General features: G+C 49.2%; 1 protein-coding gene across 2 annotated transcripts, besides 3 other annotated features; it reads right to left on the bottom strand.

The window, feature by feature from the left end:
- Positions 115-25,027, bottom strand: SMO (smoothened, frizzled class receptor). Of its 2 annotated transcripts, XM_047420759.1 has the most exons (13): positions 24,178-25,027; positions 10,924-11,037; positions 10,071-10,276; positions 8,248-8,457; positions 7,878-8,050; positions 7,291-7,510; positions 7,073-7,196; positions 4,809-4,901; positions 4,263-4,371; positions 3,112-3,297; positions 2,547-2,695; positions 1,890-2,024; positions 115-1,636 (listed from the first exon to the last, which is right to left on the bottom strand). In XM_047420759.1, exons 3-13 carry the CDS (start codon positions 10,215-10,217, stop codon positions 1,209-1,211), a joined length of 1,974 nt encoding a protein of 657 aa, XP_047276715.1. In that variant the 5' UTR covers positions 10,218-10,276; positions 10,924-11,037; positions 24,178-25,027; the 3' UTR covers positions 115-1,208. The 2 variants fall into 2 exon arrangements, with proteins under 2 accessions (XP_047276715.1, NP_005622.1); NM_005631.5 differs by lacking the exon at positions 10,924-11,037.
- Positions 24,331-24,590: a silencer, noted in NCBI's record as "silent region_18626". NCBI's record gives its function as "represses an Ori minimal core promoter by ATAC-STARR-seq in GM12878 lymphoblastoid cells {active_cell/tissue: GM12878}" and the evidence as "EXISTENCE:reporter gene assay evidence [ECO:0000049][PMID:35858748]".
- Positions 24,821-25,090: a silencer, noted in NCBI's record as "silent region_18625". NCBI's record gives its function as "represses an Ori minimal core promoter by ATAC-STARR-seq in GM12878 lymphoblastoid cells {active_cell/tissue: GM12878}" and the evidence as "EXISTENCE:reporter gene assay evidence [ECO:0000049][PMID:35858748]".
- Positions 25,720-25,809: an enhancer, noted in NCBI's record as "active region_26626". NCBI's record gives its function as "activates an Ori minimal core promoter by ATAC-STARR-seq in GM12878 lymphoblastoid cells {active_cell/tissue: GM12878}" and the evidence as "EXISTENCE:reporter gene assay evidence [ECO:0000049][PMID:35858748]".

Here is a 27,968-nt window from a genome sequence, read left to right as displayed (position 1 = left end):
ATATCATGTCACTGCACTCCAGCCTGGGGGATAGAGTGAGACTTTTATCTCAATTAAAAAAAAAAAAAAGAGAGAGAAAGAAAAAGAAAAAAAAAAGGAAAAACACACCAAGAGTTTATACAAAAACCTTTTATTGACTGTATTTCTTCTCCCCATAACCTGGAACCCAGCCAGCATCTATGGCTTCCTGCTGTCTGATTCTTGAAAGTGGGGCCTTGGGAACATGTTTGGAGGCTATGGAAGGTGGGAATCTCCTCACCCACCGGCTATGCAGGTTGAAGGAAGCTTTCTTGCCTGGCTGAAGCTACGGCAGCTTCCCAGGGTAGCCCCTCAAGTCTAGAGGACCCATCCCCCACTAAATGGGTGTGAGGAAGAGATGATGCATCTTTCAGAGGCTTTGTCACTCACTGCTCCTATCCCACTCCAGACTGAGGCCCTAGAGCTGAACCAGTCTCTCCTGTGGAGATGGGGCCCAGCAGCGAGGGGAGGGGGTTAGAGGTGAGTGTGTGCAGCAGCTCTGGGTCCTCATCAACAAAAAGGAAACGCAAAGAGGTTGGCACCGCTGAAACTGAACTGAAATGGAACAGAAGAAGGAGGATATAGGAGAACAAAAGATGGGTTTGGGGTAGTGCCACCTATTAAGAGAGGACATGGCCCCTGTGGGAGCAGGTCCTTCCAGCCCCACAAACACCTGGGAGAGGAATACGGTGCCCTGGCCCTACTTAGACAAAGGACTAATGACACAGTCAACACTTTTGGACTGAGACTGCCAGGAAAGGGCACCCATCAGCCCAGAAAACGGCAGCCAGCCCTCATCTGCCAGACATAGGCTAGGCTGCCTCCCTGGCCACCAAAGCCCACTCTGGGAACTGTCACCTCTGCCTCCACCGTTCCTGCCCCACCACAAGCTCTGCATACCCCCTGCCCCGATGGAGCAGATGCTGCCAACCAGGCTGCAGCTGGCAGGGCAGAAACAAGGACCCTGAGCTCCAGGGCCCTGTCCCTGGGGTGAGGCCTCCCCATGGAGATGTTAGGCTCTTTCCCACAGTCCTGCTGCTTTGAGCCAGACATCCAGAACTCTCTTCGGAGGGCAGTCAGCCCACAGGTTCTCTGGAAGACGGGATCCTAGGGAAGCATGCTCGGTGAGGAAGAAGAGCCTTGAAGGTATTGGTTCCTCTCTTTCCTGTCCCAGGTCCTGCTCTGCAGGCTCAGAAGTCCGAGTCTGCATCCATGAGTTCTGTGTCCATCAGGTTGGTGCGGGAGTGAATAGGCCCCAGGCCCTGTCGGCGGCCATGAGCCCATGCCACGGGGGCCGGTGCACTGGGCAGAAATGGATCCTGAGGGGGACTGGGCTCTGGGCAGAATGGGTTGGAGACCAGGGTCCACGCTCCCTGTCGGCAAGAGTCCCCAGCTCCCCAGGCACCTGCAGCCACCAGGCATTTCTGCCGGGGCAGCTGAGGCAGTCGAGGAATGGTACTGGGGGCAGGGGCAGGGGGGTGAAGCTCAGGGGGCGGCGCCAGCGGGCACACCTCCTTCTTCCTCTTCCTCCTCTTCTTCTTCCGGCCCAGGCGCTTCTGCAGCTCTGGGGAGATCTCTGCCTCAACCAGCCACAGGTTGGCTTGTTCCTCTGGGGGCACTGACAGGAGGAGAGACAACACGAGCCTGGGGCCCTGGCTCTGTCCATGCCACCCCCGCTCCCCTGGGAGCACTTAACCTGTTAGTTCTGGGGCCCAGGTCTCTAGACTCTTAGAGCCTCAGCCCCACTCTTCAGATCCTCTGGGGCCTTTCCTTCCTCTTCCTCCTCCTCCGACAGCCCCTGTACTCCAGTCCCAGAAGCCCCCAGCCTCTGTGCTCCCCCCACCTTCCTCCAGAAGCTTGAACTCTCATACCTGGAGTTGCCACAGGGGTGACAGAAATATCCTGGGGCAGTATGGCTCCTCTCCGAGCCACCATCTTGGTGACATGCTGGGCCCAGGCAGAGGAGACATCAGCTGAGGGCTCATTGAGGTCAAAGGCCAAGCCCGCTGTGGGAATGGAAGGAAGGAAAGGAGAAGGAATAGTGACTTCCCGGTCCCTGGCAGTGCCTCCCATAGTCAGTGCCATTCATCTTCCCACAGCCAGTCCCTCCTGCTCACCAGAGAAAGCTCACCCTGTAACCACGGTGATCTCTACCCCTTCAGAATCTGAAGAGAAGGGCCTCACGTCCCCAAAGGGCCTAACTGGAGGCCAGAAATCCAGTTCTTGGAACCCTGACTTACTCTTGCCCAGGGAGAGCAACTGGAGAATTTATGAGAAGGGAGAGGGAGGGGAGTCTTCTTGGAACCCAAGCACCGGCAAGCAGACCCAGGGGCAGAAACAGAGAGGGGAGAGCCCCCCAGAGGGTAGGAGGGGCCGGGGGAAGAATGGGTGTGTGAGCGATGGAGGGAGCGCCTTGCTCCTCACAGTCGGTCTTCCAAATAATCTGTGTGCCCCCAGCAGGCTGGGAGAGACTAGCACATGGGCAGCGCGGGGCCAGGCGGCTCCGGTAGAGGAGGGGTGAGGCTCACCCACGGGCCCGTCGTGGGACACAGTGTGCATGCTGAAGGACAGCTCCTGGCCTGGGTTCTGCAGGAGCTCGTGCCGCTTAGAGAAGGCCTTGGCAATCATCTTGCTCTTCTTGATCCGCTTTGGCTCATCGTCACTCTGCCCAGTCAACCTGAGAGCAGAAGGGATAGGGAAGGAGCGTGAAGAAGCTGCCACTTCCCATCAAATCTTGGGAAGGGCCAGCGATGCCATTCTTTCCAGAGAAGGAGGCTCCCAAGGGCCTCAAGTCCTTCAAGGACTCAGGAGTAGAGGCCTTCTCTGCAAAGAAGTGGGGCCAGAATGCAGAGCTCCTGTGTGCCCAGCCCTCCAATCACTCCGCTCTTAAAAGGTGATGGCAGCTGGCTCTGCCCTTGGCCCAGGCCCAGGCCCAGGCATCAGGCCACCCAAGGACAGAAGGTGCCACCAGGGGGCAGCGGTGAACCACTGACCAAGGCTGTGCTAGAGGCAGGACCCGACAAAACCTAAAGATGGGGTCCCAAGGCTGAGGGTGAGGCGGGCAGGGCAGGAGGGGCTGGCTGCCATGCCCACCTGCACCAGGTACGCCTCCAGATGAGCAGCGTGGCCTTGGTCCAGACCCAGGTGCTCATGGCGATGCCAGTTCCAAACATGGCAAACAGGTTGATCTTCTCCACCAGAAGGCTCGGGCGATTCTTGATCTCACAGTCAGGGATGGGCTGCTTGGTGGGCAGCCCGATGGTCACATTGGCCTGACATCTACAGTGAGGGAACGTAGACAGGTGAGGCTTTCCTTTCTTTTCCTCTCTCTTTTTTTGAGATAGGATCTTGCTCTGTCACCCAGGCTAGAGTGCGGTGGCGTGATCACAACCCACTGCAGCTTCCAACTCCTGGGCTCAGGCAATCTCCTGCTTCAGCCTCCCAAGTAGCTGGGACTACAGGTGGGGTTTTCTGAGTCTACTGGGTAGACTCAGACAATCAATCCAAAAACTTTAGAAAGGGCTAAGCTCCACAGCACTGATCTCAACCCTGGGTGCTCATTAGAATCAACTGGGGAGCTTTTAATAGCTACTGATGCCTGGGACCCACCCTAGACAATTAAATTGAATCTCTGGGGCAGAGACTCAGGCATCACTGTGGTTTAAAGCATCCCAGACTGGAAGCCGGAACCTTTACGGAAGAGCCTGAAGCAGTCAGGGCTTGGACTAGCATCCATTTTAGCGACTGTCCTTGTAACAGTGGGTACTGCGCTTCTCTCAGCAGTAGCAATGTCTTACTCTCTCCAATCCATCCTCATTATGACACAAAAAAGCACAGGCAAAAACTAGCCAACATTAGCAGGTCATTAACCTATCACAGAGAGGTAACTAGTCCTGTGCCAGGATCTAAAGCAGGCTCTGCAGGAGAGCACACAGAATTAGAGGGCAACTTAGTGTCAGTCAGAGAAGACGAAGCTGAACTGGCTGCTTAACAGTCACACATGCACCAGCTGGGCAACCAAGGGGGTGGAGAGGGAAGGGCAGAGGTGAGAAGGGATGCGAAGGTTGTTTGCCACGTTTGAGAAACTACGGAGACTGATGCCTTATGCACCCAGACACCATCCATTGAATCTGCTGTCTGCAGCAGGGACCTGGCAAATCCCTGCTGCCCGGTGGGTGGAGGTGGGTGTCTTTATGGCCTTGGCTCCAGCTCCCAGCACTGCCGCCTCCATGCCCCTCACTCACAGCACATAGTCCCGGAAGCTGCGCTCCCACTCAGCCTGGTTGAAGAAGTCGTAGAAGTGGCAGCTGAAGGTAATGAGCACAAAGCCAAAGGCCAGGAAGCCAAAAATGCCTGTGGAGGACAGGGGCAGGACAGGACGTTACCAAGCCCAGTCCCGCAGCAGCAGTGGGGAGGAGAGAGTCTGCCCCACTGGGCCTCAAAGTTCACCCAGCTGGGGCTGGGGTGAACTCATGCTGGGCTCAGTCCAAGAACTGCTTTCTCTAAAATAAAATAAGAAGGGCACTTGAAGCAACTGTGGGAGGGACCACGTGGGACGTAGTGGGCAGGAGGAACCAGTCCCGGCATGAACTTGACTGAATTCTTCCCCCCGAGTAGACCCCCTTCTTTTGAGCTGCCACTACCACTACCACCTACACACACCCCTTGTCCTTGTCCCTATGGCTAACTTGTCCCACTGACTTACTGCATCCTGCCGGTCGCATAGCCCCAGGAGGGTGCAGTGTTGGGCTGGCCAGGACCTCAGACCGAAGTCCCCCGGGGCCACTCACCCAGGCGCAGCATGGTCTCGTTGATCTTGCTGGCAGCCTTCTCACTCAGCAGCCCGGGGTGGTTGCTCTTGATGGAGAACAGAGTCATGACTCCTGAACAGAAGGGGGACCTCAGACATTAGCAGGGGTGAGGCTGCCCTGCTGGGAAGGATGGGTGAGTGGGAGGAGGGTCCTAAGGCTCTGGAGTCCCAAGTCTGATTACCCCTGTGCTAAATGAAAACCTGGGGAGCTAGAGACACTGGAGAAATGGTGAGAAGACCAGGGCAGAGCCTAGACAGACACTTGAGAAGAGGGAGCCTCGGTCGTGGCCCAGCTGCCCCTGAAGAAGGGGGCAGATCAAAGCTGTTCTGATGGGAAAGACATAAAACAGACTCAAGAACAGCGCTATCCATATAATTTTTTTTTTGAGATGGAACCCTGTCGCCCAGGCTGGAGTGCAATGGCGTGATCTCGGCTCATTGTAAACTCCGCCTCCCAGGTTCAAGCAATTCTCCTGCCTCAGCCTCCCAAGCAGCTGGGATCACAGGCACCTACCATCACGCCGGCTAATTTTTGTATTTTTGTAAAGATGGGGTTTCACCATGTTGGCCAGGATGGTCTTGAACTCCTGAACTCAGGTGATCTGCCCACCTCGGCCTCCCAAAGTGCTGGGATTACAGGTGTGAGCCACCATGCCGGCCTTCCCATAGAAATATGTGAGCCACATACATATGGCAAATTTCTAGTGGCCACTTAAAAAAAGTTAAAAGAAACAAGCAAAACTAATATCAATATATTTTACAAACCTAATATATTCAAAATAAAATCATTTCAACATGTAATCCATGTAACAAATTATTAATGAGATATTTTACATTTTTTTCCCACTAAGTTTTTTTTTTAATACAGTGTGTATTTCACATTTTACAACACATCTCAATTTGGACTTGTTTCTTTTTGTTGTTGTCTTGTTTTCTTTGGAGACAGGGTCTCACTCTGTCACTCAGGCTGGAGTGCAGTGGCAAGATCATGGCTCACTGCAGCCTCAACCTCCTGGGCTCAAGCAAGCCTCCCACCTCAGCCTCTCACATAGCTAGGACCACAGGCATGTGCCACCCTGCCCAGGCAACTTTTGTATTTTTTGTAGAGATGGGGTTTCACTATGTTGTTCAGGCTGGTCTCGAACTCTGAGCTCAAGTGATCCGTCCGTCTCAGCCTCCCAAAGTACTGGGATTACAGGAGTGAGCCGCCGCACCCAGGCTGGACTAGTTCAACACATGTGGCTAGTGATTACCATACTAGGACAGCATGATAACGAAGCACAAATCAGAGGGCCAGACACTATGCCAAAAAGAGGGGAAAGAGGTGACTGAACAGAAGGCTGGCAGTTCAGGGTGAGGAAACTGAGGTTTACAAAGAAAACCCAACAACAATGAGCTAAATAGATGCTGAGGCTTACTATGGGATGGCAGCATGAGACAGGAAAGTTAGGGACCACTAATTCCACGCATGCTGTGAGAGCTGTGTGTGCCGGGGACAGAAAGAAGATGAAAACCAAGCTCCAGAAGATTGACAGTACATATCGAATTAATGTGCACACAGATAACCAAACGACCTAGGTTGGTCCAAGTGGGCAGAGTAGGTTACTCAGGGTGTTCATCACACAAGTGCACCGGCCAGGAGCTGACTGGGGCTGGATCCTGACCCAACTCCACCTAACAAGCTGTGAGGCTGGGCACTGTGGCTCATGCCTGTAATCTCCGCACTTTGGGAGGCTGAGGTGGTGGATCACTTTAGGTCAGGAGTTCAAGACCAGCCTGGCTAACATGGTGAAACCCCGTCTCTACTAAAAATACAAAAATTAGCCAGACGTGGTGGTGCATGCCTGTAATTTTAGCTATGGGGGAGGGTGAGGCAGGAGAATCACTTGAACCCAGGAGGCGAAGGTTGCAGTGAGCCAAGATTGTGCCACTGCACTCCAGCCTGGGCAACAGAGCTAGACTCTGTCTCAAAAACAAAAACAAACAAAAAAAACAAGCTGTGAGCCCTGGGCCAAGGCCCTGGAGAGAGGGATGGATTTTTCTGGCCAGTACAAAGGTGCTGTCCCGCAGCAAGTGCTCACGGTGTTTCGTCTGCCTAGAGGGTCACCTTCTACTGTGTGAAGGCCCTATAGGAGCTAGCTGGGGTTTCAGCATGGGGGCAGCCGTGCTGGCAGCTCCCAGTACTGGCAGCAAGTGCCCAGTATATTTTGTTGCCCAACTGGTCCTGGCCTGGTCTTCACTCACCTCGGATGAGGAAGTAGCCTCCCACGATGAGCACCAGGCCGATTGGGGCCAGCACGAAGCCCGCACGGTATCGGTAGTTCTTGTAGCCCACAAAACAAATCCCACTCACAGAGTCCCCATCCACCTGCAGCAGGAAGGGGTGGGACAGAAGGTGGGTTACTGGCCCCCTCCCTCAAACTCACCCCATCCAGGTCTCCCGTTCCTACCAGTCACTATACCTGCGCCACAGCAAGGATTGCCACAGTGAGGACAAAGGGGAGTGACCAGGTGAGCAGGTGGAAGTAGGAGGTCTTGCCCGAGAGAGGCTGGTAGGTGGTGCCCAGGGCTTTGAAGGAAGTGTGCCAGGCATAGGTGAGGACCACAAACCAAACCACACCAGCCATCAGGGCGTAGTACACGATGACAAAGATGATGACGCAGGACAGAGTCTCATTGGAGCTGTGCAGAGAGGTGAGGTGTCACTTGAGGCGGTCACTCTGTACTCCCTCTACCTGGTCTCCCCACCCTGTGCCCAGACCCTCAGCTGCTGAGGTCTGGAGGTTCCCAGAAGTCAGGGCTTGGAGACAGGACCCAGGTCAGATCTGAGGAGGCTCTAGGAGCCGCCCCTTTGAGCAGATACAAACCATGAAGGTCCTGATTCTGAAACTAAGATCCTAACACTGGAGATCTTGCATGCAGTATGCAGTAGGGCAGAGCCAGATCCTGCCCTGGATCTCGGTTTTACACGCACCTGCTCCCTTTGGGGTAAACGCACACTTCAGCCTTCCTCCCTGTACCTTCACCTCTGGGTCCCCAAGACACCTACGTGGGCTCCCCAAGCCTCATGGTGCCATCTGCACGGCAGACGATCTCTCGGCGGGCACCATCCATGAACTGGGCCAGCCAGCCAATGCTGCCCACAAAGAAGCACGCATTGACGTAGAAGAGAATAACAGCAGGGTAGCGATTCGAGTTCCGCCAGTCAGCCACGAATGTGGCCTAGAAGAGAGAAGTGGGCCATTCTGTGAGGTTAGGGTTATTCTGCTGACACAGACACCCTTAACTGAGCCCCAGACCCTTCTGATCATGACCCTTCCCTGGGGACCCCCACCAAGACCTCTTTGCCCCCCTTCCCTCTGGCTCTCTTCCCACGTTCCAGGCTGAGGGCCCCCCGGGCCTGCCCTCCCGCGGCTGACCAGGGTGAAGAGCGTGCAGAGGCCCGTGACGGCCCCGAAGGCCGCGATGTAGCTGTGCATGTCCTGGTGCTCAGCCTCTGTGAAGAGCGGGTTCTGGCACTGGATGCCGCAGCCCTCCACGTCCTCGTACCAGCTCTTGGGGTTGTCTGTCCGAACCAAGGGCACTTCGCACTGGCCTGAACTGTTGAACTTGATGTTCTGCACCTCATTCTGGCACCAGGGATGGGAAAAGACGGTGTCAAGGCAGCTCAGGGACGAGCCTCTTGTTTAGGGAAAGGTATCTAGGTAGCATGGCAGGGTGGCTGGAGATACACTTCCAGGACCTGAATCCCAGGGCTGGCTTGGCAAATTATTTGGCCTCTCTGTACCTCAGTTTCCCCACTTCTTTCTTTCTTTTTTTCTTTCTTTTTTTAGACAGTCTCGCTCTGTCGCCCAGGCTGGAGTGCAGTGGCGTGATCTCAGCTCACTGCAACCTCTGCCTCCCGGGCAATTCTCCTGCCTCAGACTCCCGAGTAGCTGGGACTACAGGCGCCCACCACCACACCCGGCTAAATTTTGTATTTTAGACGGGGTTTCACCAGGTTGGCCAGGCTGGTCTTGAACTCCTGACCTCATGATCCACCCACCTCGGCCTCCCAAAGTGCTGGGATTACAGGCGTGAGCCACTGCGCCCGGCCAGTTTCCCCATTTCTAAGATGGTAGTACTTACCTTATGGTATGGTTTAAGGGTTAAATGAATAAACATATATTATATATATAGAAAGAGAGAGACAGAGTCTGGCTCTGTCGCCCAGGCTGCAGTGCAATGGCACAATCTTGGCTCACTGCAACCTCCACCTCCCGGGTTCAAGCGATTCTACTGCCTCAGCCTCCCAAGTAGCTGAGAATACAGGTGCCCACCACCATGTCTGGCTAATTTTTTGTATTTTTAGTAGAGACGGAGTTTCACCATGTTGGTCAGGCTGGTCTTGAACTTCTGACCTCATCAAGTGATCCACCCGCCTCAGCCTTCCAAAGTGGTGGGGATAACAGGCATGAGCCACTGTGTCTGGCCAGCCTATTTATTTATTTATTTATTTTGAGACAGAGTCTCACTCTGTAGCCCAGGCTGGAGTTCAGTGGCACGATCTCAGCTCACTGCAACTTCCACCTCCCGGGTTCAAGCGATTCTCGTGTCTCAGCCTCCCGAGTAGCTGGGACTACAGGCGCACACCATGACATCAGGCTTATGTTTGTATTTTTAGTAGAGACAGGGTTTTGCCACGTTGGCCAGGCTGGTCTGGAACTCCTGACTTCAGGTGATCTGCCCACCTCGACCTCCCAAAGTGCTGGGATTACAGGCATGAGCTTATTATAATGGCATTTGGCATATAGTAAACAGGACTAATTAGTATTATTACCATCATTATTACTGTTATTATTTTCATTGAAGACCTCTCCTGCACCACCCAGAACTAGCTCACGTCCCCTGTCTTGGTGGCTCTAGCTGTTTCACACGCTCGCGCCTTAACTCCCAACATACATGAGAAACTTCCTGATAGGCTCCTGTCATCCGTGATGCCCGTAACACCACAACACCCAACAGCCAGTGCTCAAAACATTTTGCTGAACATGTGATCATTGATAAATAAATAGAGAATCCCTAATAGACGGATCCAGCCAGTGAGCTGCAGTTTGAGTTTGTGTCCTGTTGACCCCATGGCTGTAGGCTCAGGGTCTCCAGGAGACAAAGCTCTGGGCTCCCCTGCTCCCCACTGGACCCTGCCCTATACCCGGTCCTGCCCAACCCAGAGAGCCTGGACCTTGTCTCACAGAGCACTCACCGTGCAGCCTTCAGGGAAGCGGTCAGGAGTGCAGCGCAGGAAGTCAGGCCAGCCCCGCTCCCTCTCCACGATGGCACAGGGGCCTCGGGTGGCCTGGCAGAGGGTACGGCTGGGCAGCTCCACCCGGTCATTCTCACACTTGGGCATGTATACGGCACACAGCAGGGGCTGGATCACTGCCCAGCAGCGGGGGGCATTCCGGAGGCCTGGGGGTGGCAACAGCATTGCAGTGAAGGCCCCTCCTCACTCTGACCCACAGACGCAGCTTCACCCCTGTCCTCCAGGCCTTTGCCACACTGCAGCCCATCACTGGTCAGACCTGGCAGGTACAGTGTTTCTCAACAGTGCATCTGGGCAGGACAGTTCTTTATACCATAGGACTGTCCCATGCATTGCAGACACTAGACTCTGCCAACTCAATGCCAGTAGAACCCAGAAGTGATTGTGACAAACAAAAATGCCCCAGCCCTCTACTCTAGGGACGGTGACTAGAAGGGAGCCTGGAGAGGAACCTCTGGGCTGCTGGGAATGTTTTACTTCTTGATCTGGTACTGGTTACATGGGATGTTGGGAATATTCTATCTCCTGATCTGATACTGGTTACATGAGTGTATTCACCTTGTGGAAACCAAGCTCATGATCTGTGCGCTATTCTGTATGCTTACTATCATTTAAGTTTTAAGAAAATAACTGCCACTTCCAGATGCCCTGCTAGGGAGTGGTAATGCCTCTGGTAGAGCTCCCCGGGGTGGATTTACCTTTTCAGGGGTGCACCCAACTCTCACGGGGCCCATTTGCTAGAGCCAGGAGATGTTTCCCTTTGCCCAGACCCCAGAACCCTTGTTCCTCTTACCAAGCGGAGTGAGAGAGAAGAGATGGGGGCTTAAGAAGAGGTAGTCAGAGGAGCCAGGCACTCCAAAGCCAGAGGAGGAAGCAGGAAGTCAGATGGAGAGGAACAGAAGAGGCTCTGTCCAGTGCGGAGAGGGGAAAAATGTTGTCAGCAAGACAGAAACAGGCGGCAATCTCCCAGCACCCGTCCCCAGCCTAGTCCTCCGCCCTGCCCATCACAGAAGCCCTTCCTGAATCAACCCTGCTTCAGCAATATCTATTTCCCAAGCAAGAAGTTGCATTAGGAGAGAATATGAGGATGTGAGAGCCAACATGGGTGCCGGTCACATTTCCAGGCTGGGGGTGGTAGAGACAGGTAACCACTCTTTTCGGGGGAAGGCAACATAGTAGAGAGGTAAGGGGCATGTGCATGGCAACTGCCCAGCCTGGGTCCAAATCTTGGCTCCACTCTTTCCTGGCTGTATGATCTTGGGCAAAGTACTTTATCTTTAGCCTCAGTTGCCTCATCTGTAAAATGGGGATGATAGATTTACCTCATGGAACTGCTGTGAAAAGTGATATAATGCTTTAAATGCCCTTGGCACAGTACCTGTCATGTAGTAAGCGCTCAGGAAATGTTAACTCTTATGATTATTTGTCTGAGGCCTCTGACTGCTCCCAGCCTTCAGAGTATATTCCAGGGTGCAGAGCAAGTTCCTGCCAGTTAAGAAGCAATGTCCTCAGGCAACAGTTCCCACTTGACTCAATTCAGTCACCAGTTGGCCAGGCGCAGTGGCTCACACCTGTAATCCCAGCACTTTGGGAGGCAAAGGCGGGCAGATCACCTGAGGCTAGGAGTTCAAGACCAGCCTGGCCAACAAGGTGAAACCCCGTCTCTACTAAAAATACAAAAATTAGCCGGTCGTGGTGGTACATGCCTGTAATCCCAGCTACTCGGGAGGCTGAGGCAACAGAATTGCTTGAACCTAGGAGGTGGAGGTTGCGGTGGGCTGAGATGGCGCCACTGCACTCCAGCCTGGGCAAAAGAATGAGACTCTGCCTCAAAAACAAAAAAATAAAAAACAAAAAACCCAAAAACAGTCACCAGAAATTCTGAGTACATAGGTACTTGCAGAAAACAGAGCAGTGGGTGCCAGGGATTGGGGTGAGGGCAGGATTTGCCTACAAAATAGTAGCATGAGAGAATATATGGGGGTTAAAGGACGATTCTCTATCTTGAATTCAATGTGGTGGCTGGTTACATAAGTCTATGTGTTTGTCTAAACTTAGAACTGTACAAGAAAAAGTCAATTTTACTGGATGTTTACTTTTATTGCACAATATATTTAAAATGGGGGGACCTCTCTGGAGTAAAATGCTTTAGAGAAACATCAGGCAGTTAATAAAAAGGTTGTGTCGGCTGGGCATGGTGGCTCAAACCTGTAATCCCAGAACTTGGGAGGCCGAGGCGGGTGGATCACAAGGTCAGGAGTCCGAGACCAGCCTGGCCAACATGGTGAAACCCTGTCTCTACTAAAAATACAAAAATTAGCTGGATGTGGTGGCACATGCCTGTAATCCCAGCTACTCAGGAGGCTGAGGCAGGAGAATCACTTGAACCCAGGAGGCAGAGGTTGCAGTAAGCGGAGATGGCACCACTGCACTCCAGCCTAGGCGACAGAGCAAGGCCCCGTCTCGAAAAATAAAAAAAATAAAGGTTGTGTCAGCCAGGTGCGGTAGCTCATGCCTGTAATCCCAGCACTTTGAGAGGCTGAGGCAGGCAGATCACTTGAGGTCGGGAGTTTGAGACCAGCCTGGCCAACATGGTGAAACCCTGTCTCTACTAAAAAATATAAAAATTAACCAGGCGTGGTGGTCCACGCCTGTAGTCCCAGCTACTTGGGAGGCTGAGGCAGAAGAATTGCTTGAACACAGGAGGTGGAGGTTGCAGTGAGTCAAGATCACGACAGTGTACTCCAGCCTGGGTGATACAGCAAGACTCATTAAAACAAACAAACAAACAACAACAAAAAAAAAACTGTAATTTTTCTCAATCTTTTTATATCTGTGGTAACAATCAGGTTTTAAAAATGTCTAATTTGTTTTCCTTTTTTTCCCTCATTGTGAATATTGTTTCATACCTTAAAAATAAAACTCCCCAGGAAAAAGAGAGATTATTAAATACATCTTCAAGGACAACTAAGAAATTATCTGGGGAAAAAATAAGGTGGAGCTTTACCCCATTTCTTACATAAAAGTCCAGATGGATAAAAAAATAACTACATTGTTTTTCTAAAAATTAAAGTTTTAGAAGAAAAGATGGGAAATGATTTTTTTTTTTGAGATGGAGTCTTGCTCTGTCGCCCAGGCTGGAGTGCAGTAATGTGATCTCGGCTCACTGCGAGCTCCGCCTCCTGGGTTCACGCCATTCTCCTGCCTCAGCCTCCCGAGTAGCTGGGATTACAGGCGCCCGCCACCACACCCGGCTAATTTTTTTTTTGTATTTTTAGTAGAGACGGGGGTTCACCGTGTTAGCCAGGATGGTCTCGATCTCCTGACCTCGTGATCCACCCGCCTCGGTCTCCCAAAGTGGGATTACGGCGTGAGCCACCACGCCTGGCCAGGAAATGATTTTTTAAACCTTGGAGTGGAGAAGGCCTTCTGAAATGACACAAAGCCTACACATCATGAAATAAAAGATTTAAACAAAAGACTTCAGAAAAATCGATACAAAAATCATAAGAAAAGTAAGATACTGAAAAAATGTATTTTCAATACTTATCACAAGAGCTAATTTCCTTATATGCACAAAGCTCCTCCAAATCAGTAAAAATTGCATAATTCTATAGACACACAGGCGAAAGACAAATAACAGATCACATTTTCAAATGTTTTGATCTTTATCACTGTGATAAAAAGTATAAAAGTTTAAAAAAAGAATATTTCGTTGTAGTTTATTCCACATTTGTATTATTAAGAGTGAGGTCGAACATCTCTTTATGTTTTTTTTATTTTTTTATTTTTTGAGATAGGGTCTCACACTGTTGCCCAGGCTGGAGTACAGTGGCATAATCACGGCTCACTGCAGCCTTCAGCTCCCCAGGTTCAGTTAATCCTCCCACCTCAACCTCCTGAGTAGCAAAGACTACAGGCTCACACCACCACACCTGGTGAATTTTTGTATTTTTCTGTAGAGACAAGGTTTCACCATGTTGCTCAGGCTGGTCTTGAACTCCTGGACTCAAGGCCATTTAATGGCCTTTAAAAACATAAAGAAGGCTGAGCATGGTGGTGGCTCACGCCTGTAATCCCAACAGTTTGGGAGGCCGAGGCAGGTGGACCACCTGAGGTCAGGAGTTCTACACAAGCCTGGCCAACATGGTGAAAACCCGTCTCTACTAAAAAACTACAAACATTAGCTAGGTGTGGTGGTGGGCGCCTGTAATCCCAGCTTCTTGGGAGGCTGAGGCAGGAGAATTGCTTGAATCCAGGAGGCGGATGTTGCAGTGAGCCGAGATCGCCATTGCACTCCAGTCTGGGTGACAGAACAAAACTCTATCTCAAAAAAAAAAAAAAAAAGAAAAGAAAATACCGTACTATAAAGAGTGTAGGGATAAACTGGCACTTTTATATTTGTTGGTAGGAATAAAAATTAGTAAACACTTGTGGAGATCACTTTGGCATTATCTACCAAAATTTTATACTAGTACTTCTACTTCACATGTTCACAAAGATAATATAGATTATTCATTGCAGCACTGTTTTGCAATAGCAAAAAAGTAGAAACAGCTTGAATCCATATCCATCAATAGGAGACCAACCAAGTAAAATAATGTACACCATTATAATAGAACACTATTCAGGGTTGAGATATAGTCACATGTTGCTTAACAATGAGGATATCTTCTGTGAAATGTGTCATCAGGCAATGTCATCTTTGTGTGAACATCAGAGTGTACTTACACAAACCTGGATGGTATAGCCTACTGCACACCTAGCTGATACAGTATAACCTATGGCTTCTAGGCTGCAAACCTGTACAGCATGTTGCTATACTGAATACTGCAGGCAACTGTAACACAACGGTGAGTATCAGTGTATCTAAACATATCTAAACATTGAAAGGCTACAGTAAAAATGTGGTATTATAATCTTAAGGGAACACCATCACATGTGGTCCATTGTTAACCAAAATCTCCTTCTGGGGTGCATGACAGGATGTGCATTGAAATGGAATGATGTCCAATGTTGTCATGTTACATGGACTCAGTTGAGTGGAGAGCAGTCTATAGAGCATGGTACTGGTTGGGCGGTAGAGGAGAGACTGAGAGCACATCTACATCTGGACAGATGTTGGATATTTCCAAAAGGACACAAAAACCAGTGTTGGTGGTTACTTCTGCAGAGGAAAAATGGGTAGCTAGATGCAGAAGTAGGACTTAACTTGTTCCTTTTGAATTCTGTGCCATGTACATGTATAACCTATTTTTTAAAAGTAATTAAGCTTAAGGCTGGACATGGTGGCTCACGCCTATAATCCTAGCATTTTGGGAGGCCCAAGGTGGGTGGATCACTTAAGTTCAGGAGTTCGAGACCAACCTGGGCAATATGGCCAAACCCCATCTCTACAAAAAAACAAAAACAAAAACAAAAACAAAACTTGAGCTTAAAAACAAAATAAAGAAATACACAAATTACTAGGATGGGGAAGCTTTCCAAAGAGAAAAGAAGGATATGAAACTGAAACGAGAAAGAGAGGGGATATCAGCTTTATCAGTATTATTTTACTTCTTTTATTTTAATAAAATATGAAACAAAAAGAGAAACAGGAATACGGGTGTTACCGCGCCTGGCTGATCTAGACTTTTAAAAAGACTTTTTATTTGTGTGATTCTGATGACTAGTCAAGTTGAGTATCACTGTTCTAAGGCTGGTTTAATATTAGAAAATTCAATCAATGCAATTTACTACATTAACAGGTTAAAGGAGAAAAAAATCATATGATCATCTCAATGGATGCAAAAAAAAGTTGATAAAATTCAGCCGGGCGCAGTGGCTCACACCTGTAATCCTAGCACTTTGGGAGGCTGAGGCGGGCGGATCACACGGTCAGGAAATTGACCTGGCTAACACGGTGAAACCCCGTCTCTACTAAAAATACAAAAAATTAGCCGGGCGTGGTGGCATGCGCCTGTAGTCCCAGATACTTGGGAGGCTGAGGCAGGAGAATCGCTTGAACCCAGGAGGCAGAGGTTGCAGTGAGCTGAGATCGCATCACTGCACTCCAGCCTCGGTGACAGTGACACTTCGTCTCCAAAAAAAAAAGTTGATAAAATTCAACATCCATCTATGATCAAAAGAATAATTGGCAAATTTGAAATAAGAGACAACGTTCTTAATCTGATAAAATGTAATTAACTATAAAAAACCTATACCAAACATCAAATTTAATGGTGAAGGGTAGAAAAAGCTTTCTTTTTAGAATCCAGAAAAGTCAAGAATTAAGATGTTTTGTCTATTTAACAATGTACTGGAAGCCTTCAGTAAAGCAATAAGGATAAATAAAAGGTATAAGACTTGGAAAGAAAGAAACAAAACTCATTACTCACAAATTATATGACTATGTGTATAGAATAAATTTAGCAAGTTTACTGAATTCACAATCAATTTTATTTCTATATATCAGCAACAAAGTGAAATAAATGTTAAAGGCATCAATTTTATTTCTTTTTTTTTTTTTTTTTTGAGACGGTGTCTCACTGTATTGCCCAGGCTGGAGTGCAGTGGCACAATCTGGGCTCATTGCAAGCTCCGCCTCCCAGGTTCACGCCATTCTCCTGCCTCAGCCTCCTGAGTAGCTGGGACTACAGGCGCCCGCCACCATGCCCGACTAACTTTTTGTATTTTTAGTAGAGATGGAGTTTCACCATGTTAGCCAGGACGGTCTCAATCTCCTGACCTCGTGATCCCCCTGCCTTGGCCTCCCGAAGTGCTGGGATTACAGGTGTGAGCCACCGTGCCCAGCCAGTTTTATTTCTATATGTCAGCAACAAACAAAGTGAAATAAATGTTAAAGGCATCATTTACAACAGCATCAAAAATATCAAGTACCTAGGAATGTCTAACAAATAATAAGTATTTAAATCTGTGCAGAATATTGAGAAAATGAAAGATCTAAATAGAAATATATAAATGTTCAATGTTTGGAAGACTCAGTATTGTAAAGATGTCTCTTTTTTTTTCCAAGTTAATCTATATAGTCAATGCAATCCCAATAAAAAATCACCAAGTATTTTTATATTAAAACACAAAGGAGCATTTTGGGAGGCCAAGGCAGGAGGATCACTTGAGCCCAGGAGTTCAAGACCAGCCGGGACAATAGGGTCAAACCCTGTCTCTATTAAAACACACACACACACACACACACACACACAATCAAGAATAGCTCAGACTCTCTACTAGATAGTGATATTCTGTAAGTAACATTCTTACCCTATGGTTCACAAAGGATTCTTGGAAAAATTCAGAGGTCCATGAATTTCAATGGGAAAAAAATTACACCTAACTAAAATTTGGCCCTTCCTCCAATTATGAATGTAAGCAACACATCGCAGTACATAATTTTTTTTTGTTTTTTTTTTCTTTTCTTTTTTTTTTTTTTGAGAGGGAGTCTCACTCTGTCACCCAGGCTGGAGTGCAGTGGCACGATCTCGGCTCACTGCAAGCTCCGCCTCCTGGGTTCACACCATTTTCCTGCCTCAGCCTCCCGAGTAGCTGGGACTACAGGCGCCCACCACCGCGCCCGGCTAATTTTTTGTATTTTTAGTAGAGATGGGGTTTCACCGTGTTAGCCAGGATGGTCTCGACTTCCTGACCTCGTGATCTGCCCACCTTGACCTCCCAAAGTGCTGGGATTACAGGTGTGAGCCACCACGCCTGGCCCACAGTACATAATGTTAATAGTACCTGTGGCGTTGTCACAAGTGGAAACCAGATATTTTTGTTGCAGATATCTTGAAATAATGTCAATGCTTATAATCACTTTGATATTATAGTTGTTATTACACCTGCACCAGATCTTATTTATTGTATAAATAAATAAGCCCACATACTTGCATTTTTATATTTGATAACTATTATGTCAATATAATTGATTTCCTTTGTAATCCTATAAACTCATATCTAGCATATATAAAGAACTCCTACAAATCTTACAAAAATGACAGATAGCCCCTATGGAAAAATATGTCAAAGATTTGAACAGACACTTCCCAAAAGCAGAAACCCTAAAGGCCAGTAAGCATTTAAAAAGGCATTTAACTTTACTAGTAATCAGGGAAGTGCAAATTAAAACCACAAATATATGCCACAATATAGCCACTAGATTGGCAAAAATGTAAAAGGCTGATAATACCAAATGTTGGGAATCATGTGAACCAGTGTTGACTTTCTACTAGCTAGTGGGAGTATAAGTTAGTACAACCACTTTGAAAAATGGTTTGGCAAAAGCCTAAAGTATGCGTGCCTTATTATCTAGCAATTCTACTTCTTCAGCATATACCTGAAGGAACTTGTGCCAGTTGTACTAGGATATACATAAAAGACTACTCACAGCAATGTTATTTGCAATGGGCAAAAACTTGAGATGACAATAAAATGGGTAAACAACTGGGGGTATACTCATATAATGGAATATTATTCAGCAATGAAGAAATAAGCTGCAGTATGAGGCGGGTGGCTCACCTGAAGTCAGGAGTTTGAGGCCAGCCTGACCAACATGGCAAAACCCTGTCTCTACTAAAAAATACAAAAATTAGCCAGGCCTGGTGGCGTGCACCTATGGTCCCAGCTACCTGGGAGGCGGAGGCAGGAGAATCGTTTGAACCCAGGAGGTGGAGGTGTAGTGAGCCGAGATCGCGCCACTGCACTCTAGCCTAGGTGACAGAGTGAGACTGTCTCAAAAAAACAAAAACAAACAAATAAACAAGCAAAAAAGAAATAAGCTGCAATAACATGGATGAATCTTACATAATGATATAAAGTAAAAGAAGCAAGAAATAATATGCACAGCATATTATTTTGTACAAATTCCATTTGAACAGAGTTCAAAAACATGCAAAGCTGAAATATACTGCTTATGGATTCCAAAACTAGGAGGTAAAACCATAGAGAAAAAAAGGATGTGATTACTGAAAACCTCTTGAGCAAGGGGAGGGGGATGTGACTAGACAAGACACAGAGGGAGCTTCAGGGGTCTGACTGTGGTCTAGTTATTGACCCAGATGTCACTTTATAATTATTTGTTATTCAGTACCTTTGTGTTTTATGCAGTTTTCTGCATACAGTTATATTTCACAATTAAAAAGTTAAAGATCTGAAGCAAAATTGAAGACTTGAGCTGGCACAGAACACATGCCTGTAGTGCCAGCTATTCCAGGCACCATAAGCACCATGCGCACAATGAGTGAGCCTCTGAATAGCCACTGCACTCCAGCCTGGGCAACACAGCAAGACCCCATTTCTCAAATAATTAATTAAAGATAATTTTTTTTTAAAAAAGACTTAGGTCCATGTATGTTTTTCTGTATTTTACATTTTCACTATACATATATGTGTGTGTGTGTATACATACACACATATCTATATGTATGTATGTATTTTTGAGACAGGGTCTTGCTCTGTTGCCCAGTCTGGAGGGCAGTGGTGTGAGGATGGCTCACTGCAGCCTCAACCTCTTGGGTTCAAGCGATCCTTTTGCCTCAGCCTCCAGTGTAGCTGGGACCACAGGTGTGTGCCAACATGCCCGGCTAATTTTTTTTTTTAGAGATGGGGTCTCACTTTGTTGCCCAGGCTGGTCTCGAACTCCTGGCTTCAAGAAATCCTCCTGCCTCAACCTCCCAAAGTGCTAAGATTACAGGTGTGAGCCACTGCACCCAGCCTATACATATATATATATATATATATATATATATATATTTTTTTTTTTTTTTTTTTTTTTTTTTTGAGATGGAGTCTCGGTCTGTCGCCCAGGCTGGAGTGCAGTGGCGTGATCTCGGCTTACTGCAAGCTCTGCCTCCCGGGTTCCCGCCATTCTCCTGCCTCAGCCTCCCAAGCAGCTGGGACTACAGGCACCCGCCACCATGCCCAACTAATTTTTTTGTATTTTTAGTAGAGACGGGGTTTCACCCTGTTTGCCGGGATGGTCTCGATCTCCTGACCTCGTGATCCGCCCACCTCGGCCTCCCAAAGTGCTGGGATTGCAGGCGTGAGCCACCGCGCCCGGCCATATATATCTTTTTAACTGACTCTGATTACCAGCCAAGTTTGGAAATAGCTCTAAGGAAATTCTTCCTGATCCGTCCCTGAAAATAACCCACCATCACCAAAAACATTCCTCCTCTCAGCCCTCAATTCAATGTGTGAGAGGCAAACAAGAAATTCCTCCCAGCCTTTGTCTCTCTCCTACTTACCTGCAAGTGGGCAAGGTGACAGGGCCACACACTTATGTACCACACAGAGCACAGCAGTGGTTAAGGAGGCTACGTGCTGGCTCTCAGGGACCTATCGCCACTGCCAGCTGCAGGCCTCTCTGCTTTTTTGCCCCACTTACTAAACCAGGTTTGGCCTAAGGTGGACCACGGCCTGGACATTATGTTTGTCTGGTCAGCTTGGAATGCCCGGGAGGAGGCATTTCCAGCTGTAAAGGGGAGAGATGCTAAGTGACTGAAGAAGCCTGAGGCCAGAGAGATGAAAGACAGAGGAAAGACCTGAGGTCTATACAGACCTAGAAATTGGACCAACCTGAGCTATAAACTTCCTCAGTCAATGGCATCCTTCCAAAGCCTCAGTAGTCAGGGCCAAGGAAGCACACAGTGGCCACCTCTCTCCAGCAATTCCTATTTCCAGATCTGCTGAGAATCTCCACATAGATGTCCAATGAGCATCTCTAATTCACACGGCCAAAATCAAAGCCACACCTCCTGCCTAAACTTCTTCTTCCTCTAGCATTCTCTATCTTAGTGAAAGGGAATGGCACCACCTTCCATCCAAGCCTGAAACCCGAGGCCTCCTGCTCACTGAGGCTCCACATCTAACTCATCAGTGCCCTATGAGCACTACCTCTGAAAGTTAGTGGGATCTGCCCACTCCCTCTGTCCTGCTACCCAGTCCCAACCGCCATCGTCTCTTACTTGGGCTACTTCAACATCCCCTGGTCAAGAAGCCAGGCTCCAGGCTTTCCCTGCTCCTATGGCTTCTTCACACCATACCCAAAGAGATCCAGCTAAAATGCAAAGACAATTACATCTCTCCCTTGCTTAAAATCTTTCAATGGCTCCTTATCATCCCCTGGATAACATCCAAACTTAATATGAGGTATAAATCCCTTTATTTTCTAATTCTTTAGGTCTTATCTCTCACAATTCCACCCCTCACACGCTTTGATCCAGTTCTACTGCAACTCTTATACTTTCTTTCAAAGCACCAAGCCCTCCTACCTCTACACCTTTGTACATGCTATTTCCTCTTCCTATCCCTTCAAACCTCAACTCTCCCTCGGCCAGGCAATTCCTGCTTATGTGTCAAGTTATGGGTTAAATGCCAGTTCTTCTGGGATGTTCCTTGGGTCCTTTATGCTTTTTCAGTACCCTAAAATGCCACAGTACCTTTCACAGGTATTTCCAAAGCCTGTTGAATTATCTGTCTTCCTTTTTTTTTTTTAGAGGCAAGGTCTCAGGCTGGTCTTAAACTCCTGGTATTGAGCAATCTTCCCGCCTCGGCCTCCCAAAGTGCTGAGATCACAGGTGTGAGCACCATGTCCAGCCTGTCTTCTTGATGACAGAGGATCATATCTGTATTCTTCATCCTTACATGCGCAGCATGTGACATACAGCAAACATTCAATACATAACTGAATGCATGAATAGAAGCATGGCTGTGTACTCAGTACTCACAGGCTTTGAAAAAAAGTGAAGACCCAGTTCCTACATTCAAGAGTTTACCGATGAAGACAACCTAGATCACCTTCATCCTTCACCCACAAAAACACCCCTAAGAGCCAGGTAACACTGACCCTGTCTAATGCAAAATCAAGATCATTAACTCGGGACATGATAAATCACTTGCCAGAGGCTACCAGCTGACCTGGCTGTGATTCTCACACGAGGCTTGGGTTCACTCTACCTACTCATTACCCAGCTCAAGCCAACACCTGCTTCTGCCCTACTTGCAAGTCCCAAGCAGAAAGAGTGCAACCAGAACACATATGGAAACAGGAATGAGCTGAGGGATGGTGGTTGGTGGCAGAGAAGAACTCATAGTGAACTAATGGAACTAACGGTGCTGGGCTCAGTGCTGGCATCTCTGTAGGACCCTGCCCTGCCAAAAGGCACAGATAGTGAGATTTCAACCTGCACAACCTGCAGATGGTACTAATTGATACATGTTCCAGCTTAAACTACTTCTGTCTGCTCAGCAGCTGCTCTCAAGAGTATGGGCTGGAAAGAGGTTCATACCCTTCCTCCTTGATCTGATGGTAACTACACAGAGGCAACATCAAACATGCATTTAACTTGGGAAAATTAAACCATGGGTCCTTGCACAATCAATAAAGAGAGGGACAGAAAGATTATCCTCTGACAGCATGAGCAACTCAGAACTGGGTGAGATTCTAGTGCTGAGAGATTTGGACTTTCCACACAGCTGGCTCCTAAACTCAAGTCTCATTTTGGGTGGTGCTCAAAGCAATCTTGCTTAATCTCACTTTGGTGTTCTTTTTATTATTATTATTATTATTTCAGTCTTTTGCATGAATGTAACTTTAAAATTACAATTATTTTATCTTCTATGTATACCCATTCTTATATATGAGTATACATGTAACACATGTATGCAAACATCGTAAAAGAAGTGTATATGCAAAACCACATCCACCTTACACTATGGTAATCTGCAGAGTTTTCAAAGCCACTGTTGTTTACACATGATTTCTGTCTAATGTGCTGTGCTGACTTTAGAACCTGATCCCCAAAAAGGATGCAGCTCTTCCTCATGGGTACCATGGATACCATCCTCCAAGTTCCTCCTCCAGCATCTGCACCAAGCCAGGAACCTTATGGCCTTGTCCAACATCTGACAAAGGCCGAGAACTTGTCAATGACAGGCGGCCTACATACACTCCCTACATTAGGGTCCTCACCAGCCCCCTGGGCAGAGCTAAGAGATGGGGTACCCCAGCCCTGTCAAAAGAGGGAGGCTCCCAGTTCTGCTCCTGGCTCCTGGTTTTCTTTTCTTTTTCCCAGGACAGTTTTAGAATCATACTGGCTAGAAGCGAGGGCTGATAAGGCCAGCTCCCTTCCTCAGCACCCTCCAAGCCTCATCTAGAAAAGTGACAGGTGGGGGAGAGTATACTCCACACTGCTAAGGAAGGACATTTGGGTTCAGTGTGCAGTTTTTCAGACTCTGCCACTCCAGTGAGGGGGCTTTGGGACTTCAAACCACCATGGAAGTGTCCACAGGCTCTCAACACTCCAGACTTAAGCGTCCTTCCACAGCCCTGACCAGCCTCGGTAACCAAATTTCCAAAGAAAACACAAATAACTGTTAGAAAGGTCTTATTCCTTCATAACCTCCTGCATGCGTCAGAGGGCCGGTTTTTCAGATGCACAAACTGAATGAAATCTCCCGTGAAAGCCAGACAAGATCACAGTTCTCTAGGCTTCATTCCTGTCTCCCAAATCAAGATTTCCAGAACTTTCTGGTTACCTTTTAATAATTCATCACTAGGGAGGTTTCTTTTCCTTCAAAACTTCACTCGATCATGTCCCCCTACCCTTCCCTCCAAATGTCTAAACCTCTTCCTCCGTCATCCCTCCCCTTTTCCTCTCCAACTCCAATTTCCCCAGGGTCTTCAACACCTCCTTGAATCCCCCGGCACCCTGCTTCCAGAATAGGTGGAGCATCTCCTCTTCTTACAAAATGTCTTTTCCCGTGGCTTAGAGCCACCTCCTCACGGGCCCCTCATCCCCGCCATCCTTTGCTCACCCACCAGCTCAGGCCCTTTGTGACCCGCTTCGTCAACTTCCTTGCCCTCCTTTTCCCATGACCGAGGGTCCCATCCTGCACGTAACCTGCCCCCAAAGTTTCGGGATCTGTCCCTCCAACTCTCCCGGGTGCTGTCCCCGCCCTCTCCAAAACTCAGGCCTGAGCCTGTTCTTTCCAAGGGTGCCCCCATCTTACCGCGGCACCTCCCGCCCCCCAGACCCGGCTCCGCCGCACTTACCCGACCAGAGCACGAGCTTGCCGTGCGCTTCCTCCTGGGAGTCCGAGTCTCCGGCCAGCAGTGTGGAGGTGGCCCCGTAGGGCAGCACCGAGCCCAGGCACACGTTGTAGCGCAGCGGCTCGCAGGGGGCAGCCCGGCCGCAGTGGCTCAGCGGCGGCGGAGGGCCAGTCACCGCCGCGCTCCTCCTCGCGCTCCCGCCCGCGCTCCGAGGCCCAGGCCCGGTCGCGTTCCCGCTCGAGGCCGCCCCCCGGCCCGGGTCCCCCAGCAGCAGCAGCAGCAGCAGCCCCAGGAGCGGGAGCTCCGGCCCCCGCGCTGGGCGGGCAGCGGCCATGGCCAACCCCGCCAACTCAGCAAAAGCCCCGGCGCCCCCGCCTGCTCCTCGGAGCCCCCCGGCCACACGCACGACCTCGGCGGCCGCGGAGGCGGCTCAGGCGACCTGTGCGCCCAGAGAATCCGGGCCCGGGCCCCCCCGGACGCTCCGCGCGCCCCGGCCCCTCGGCGCCCAACTTCGCAAACTTTGGAACCCGGGGCCCATGTTGGGCTGCGGAGGCCCGGAACGGGATGCACGACTCCCCAAGCCCTAGCCTCGCAATCCAAGTTGTCTTCAGCCCTAGGAGACCCCTGGGCCCCCAATCCCCAGCCCCATTCCCTCTCCCACCATTAAAGCCACCTCCCCGCCCCGCGAGGGAGGCCAGACGCGGGCCGGGGGTGCGAGTGCAGCTCCGGCTCCGCCCCCGCGCCAGCCCGCGGCCCAGCAGCCACCTTCGCCCCAGCGCGCCGCAGCCCCCCGAACTCTCCCCGCCGGCGACCCGGCTCCTTTGTTGCTCTAGCTCGCTGGGCTCTCTGGAATGCACGGGCCTCGCGGAGCCAAGCCCGGCCCCCCTGCGCCGAGGCTGGGGGAGGGACTGGACGAAGGAGCGGAGAGGTGGGGAGGGGAGGCGAGAGAGGAAGAGCGCGAGCGTCAGCGTCCCTGGCGCCTGGAGGGGCCCGGGCTAGGGGGATCTGGTGACCCCGCCTGCCGCCGCCCCGCGCCCGGGGGAAAGAGATGAGTGGAAATCGTGGGCCGGACCTGCAAGGAGAGACTCGGCGGGCACCTTGCTTGGTCTGAGGTCGTCTGCAGGAAGCGGACTTTTCTCCTGGCTCAGGATGGGAAAGACAGGGGATGCCTGAAGTCAACGGGGACTTCTGTTCCATCTCTGCCCCGTTCTCCAGGCCCGCCAGTTTTTCCTGCTTTGGTTAGATTTTCCAACGTATCCCGGGGCCCCATGGAGAAGAACCTGGGTTTGGGGTTTGCGCTTCTCCAAATCCTTCCAGCTCGGGACCTTTGAGAGAGACGACCTCAGAGTCACTCACGGCAGCTGCTCTGGCTGCTGTTACCTGCGGGAACAGGTGTCTGGGAAATAAACTTGCCAACATCAAGCCTTTACTGCTACAAATATGTGAAGTCTGAACTGTGGTTCCCAGGGACTGGCCTTGGTTATGTGAGAAGGAAACCAGTCCTTCTTTGATGGCCCTGCTGCTCATCTGCTCTGGGAGGTTTCTGCTGCTCCTCTTCCCCACTCTGCTCATTTTGCCTTTCCTCACTCCTTTGAGCATCACACTTTTGGTCACCACACTTAATTTCCCACTTCAGCAGTTTACACCTGCACAACCAAGTATAACCCAGCATAACCACAAGGCTCCAAACAGGAGAGTAGACTTGCACTGAGCAACTTTTTCCTTGTTGCTGATCGGGCTGCACACCAGGGTGGGTTTTCCTTTCTTACCCCTGGAAGACTTGCTCATGGCCTAGCGGTAGTGGACTAGTTCTGTTACTTTGGACAGTTTAAGTGCATATTAGTTATTGCACTTCAACTATATCAATTGGAGAGAGAGAGAGAATTTAATTCAATTTAGCAAGTCTTTCTGAAATTCCAGCATGTACATAGCACAGAGACATCCTGGAGGAACCTGTAGACTTCCATTTTCCTGTGGATACATGGCTTGCTCTCAGGAAACATAGCATGACAGAACAGCAACGTTCCCTCCTTCAGGTCAGGGACCTTATCTCATTCTCTTAGTGTTCACAAAACATCTAGTTCACTTGAGCATACATAGTAATCACTTGATAAATAAGCTGCCAAAATGAGATGTACCGTGAGTATGCTATAGGAATAGGGGACAGAGGTCAGTGTGGATAGAAGTGGAGGAGGTGGGTTTTGAATCCAGGACTAAAGTGTGAGTAGGAGGAGTTAGAATAAGGACATAGATAAGTAGGGAAACTGATTGGTAAGAAGCCTCAAATAACACACAGAATTAAGGGTCAATTCTCTTGATAGTAAGGAAATCTCAAAGTTTTGACTAGGGGAATGATATTAATCTTTACTGGTTAATATTAGGTGATATGGTTTGGATCTGCATCCCCACCCAATCTCATGTTGAATTGTAATCCTCAGTGTTGGAGGTGAGGCCTGGTGGGAGGTAACTGGATCACGGAGGCAGTTTCTCATGAATGGTTTAGCACCATCCTCCTCGTGCTGCTCTCACGATAATGAGTGAGTTCTCACGAGGATTGTTTAAAGGGTTTGGCACCTCCCCGCTTCTTCCTCCTGCTCCTGCCATGTAAGATGTCTCGCTCCCCCTTTGCCTTCCACCATGATTAGAAGTTTCCTGAGGCTTCTCCAGGAGCAGAAGCTGCTATGATTCCTGTATAGCCTGCTGAACTGTGACCCAATTAAACTTCTTTTCTTTATAAATTACCCAGTCTGAGGTATTTTTTTTTTTTTTCAGACGGAGTCACGCTCTGTCGCCCAGGCTGGAGCACAGTGGTGTGATCTCAGAGCACAGCAGTGTGATCTCGGCTCACCTCAACCTCCACCTCCCAGGTTCAAATGATTATCCTGCCTCAGCCTCCTGAGTAGCTGGGATTACAGGCACATGCCACCACGCCAGGCTAATTTTTGTATTTTTAGTAGAGACGAGGTTTCACCATGTTGCCCCGGCTGGTCTCAAATTCCTGACCTCAAGTGATCCACCCACCTCAGCCTTCCAAAGTGCTGTGATTACAGGTGTGAGCCACTGCACCTGACCAGTCTCAGGTATTTCTTTATAGCAATGCGAGAACAGACTAATACATAAGGCAACATGAGGATGGCATGAAGTGCAAGAGGCTGGAGACAAGGGACCATTTTAAGGAAAGTCTCTGGTGACTTATGGAAGAAGTGAAACTAGACTATGTCATCAGGGCATAATATTCCTACTGGAAAAATAATTTGAAATGTTATGACCTACTTCAGTTATTTCTTTCTGTGACATAATAAAATGGCTGTTATAACATGTCTAAGTCCAAGCTGTAGAGAAAGCTGCCTTGGAGCCTGATAGCACACCCGATGCTTTGCTTTGTGAACTATCTGCACTTATTTTCTATTTGATTGTGTGTGTGTGTTGTTTTGTTTGTTTTTGCTTTTCTCTTTACCTTCCTGAGTGAGCAAGAGTAAAATATCTGGTTGTGGCAGTCTCGAAGCCCTGTGGGATTTTCCTAATATTTCATGTATTAGGGAAGAACTTACACATGTGCTCAGGCAGGCCCTTATTTCTCTACTCCAAATGTCAGTAGGTAATTCTTCAAGGATATAGGCTCTCCCATTTCTTGTGTGAGGTTTCTCAGGAAGTATGAGGAAGATTCGCATTGTGGGAATATAATACCTTCACATTGGAGATAGCAGAGGTAAATTGAGGCTATCCTAAGACACTATCTTCCAGCCAGAATGCTCTTCCCTTCTTGAGGGGAGAATATACCATAAGTTCTCAAT

The sequence above is a fragment of the Homo sapiens genome, chromosome 7, assembly GCF_000001405.40.
Source record: "Homo sapiens chromosome 7, GRCh38.p14 Primary Assembly".
NCBI lineage: Eukaryota > Metazoa > Chordata > Mammalia > Primates > Hominidae > Homo > Homo sapiens.
The sequence above is the reverse complement of the archived record's forward strand: the minus strand, read 5'-3'. Positions and strand labels throughout refer to the sequence as shown.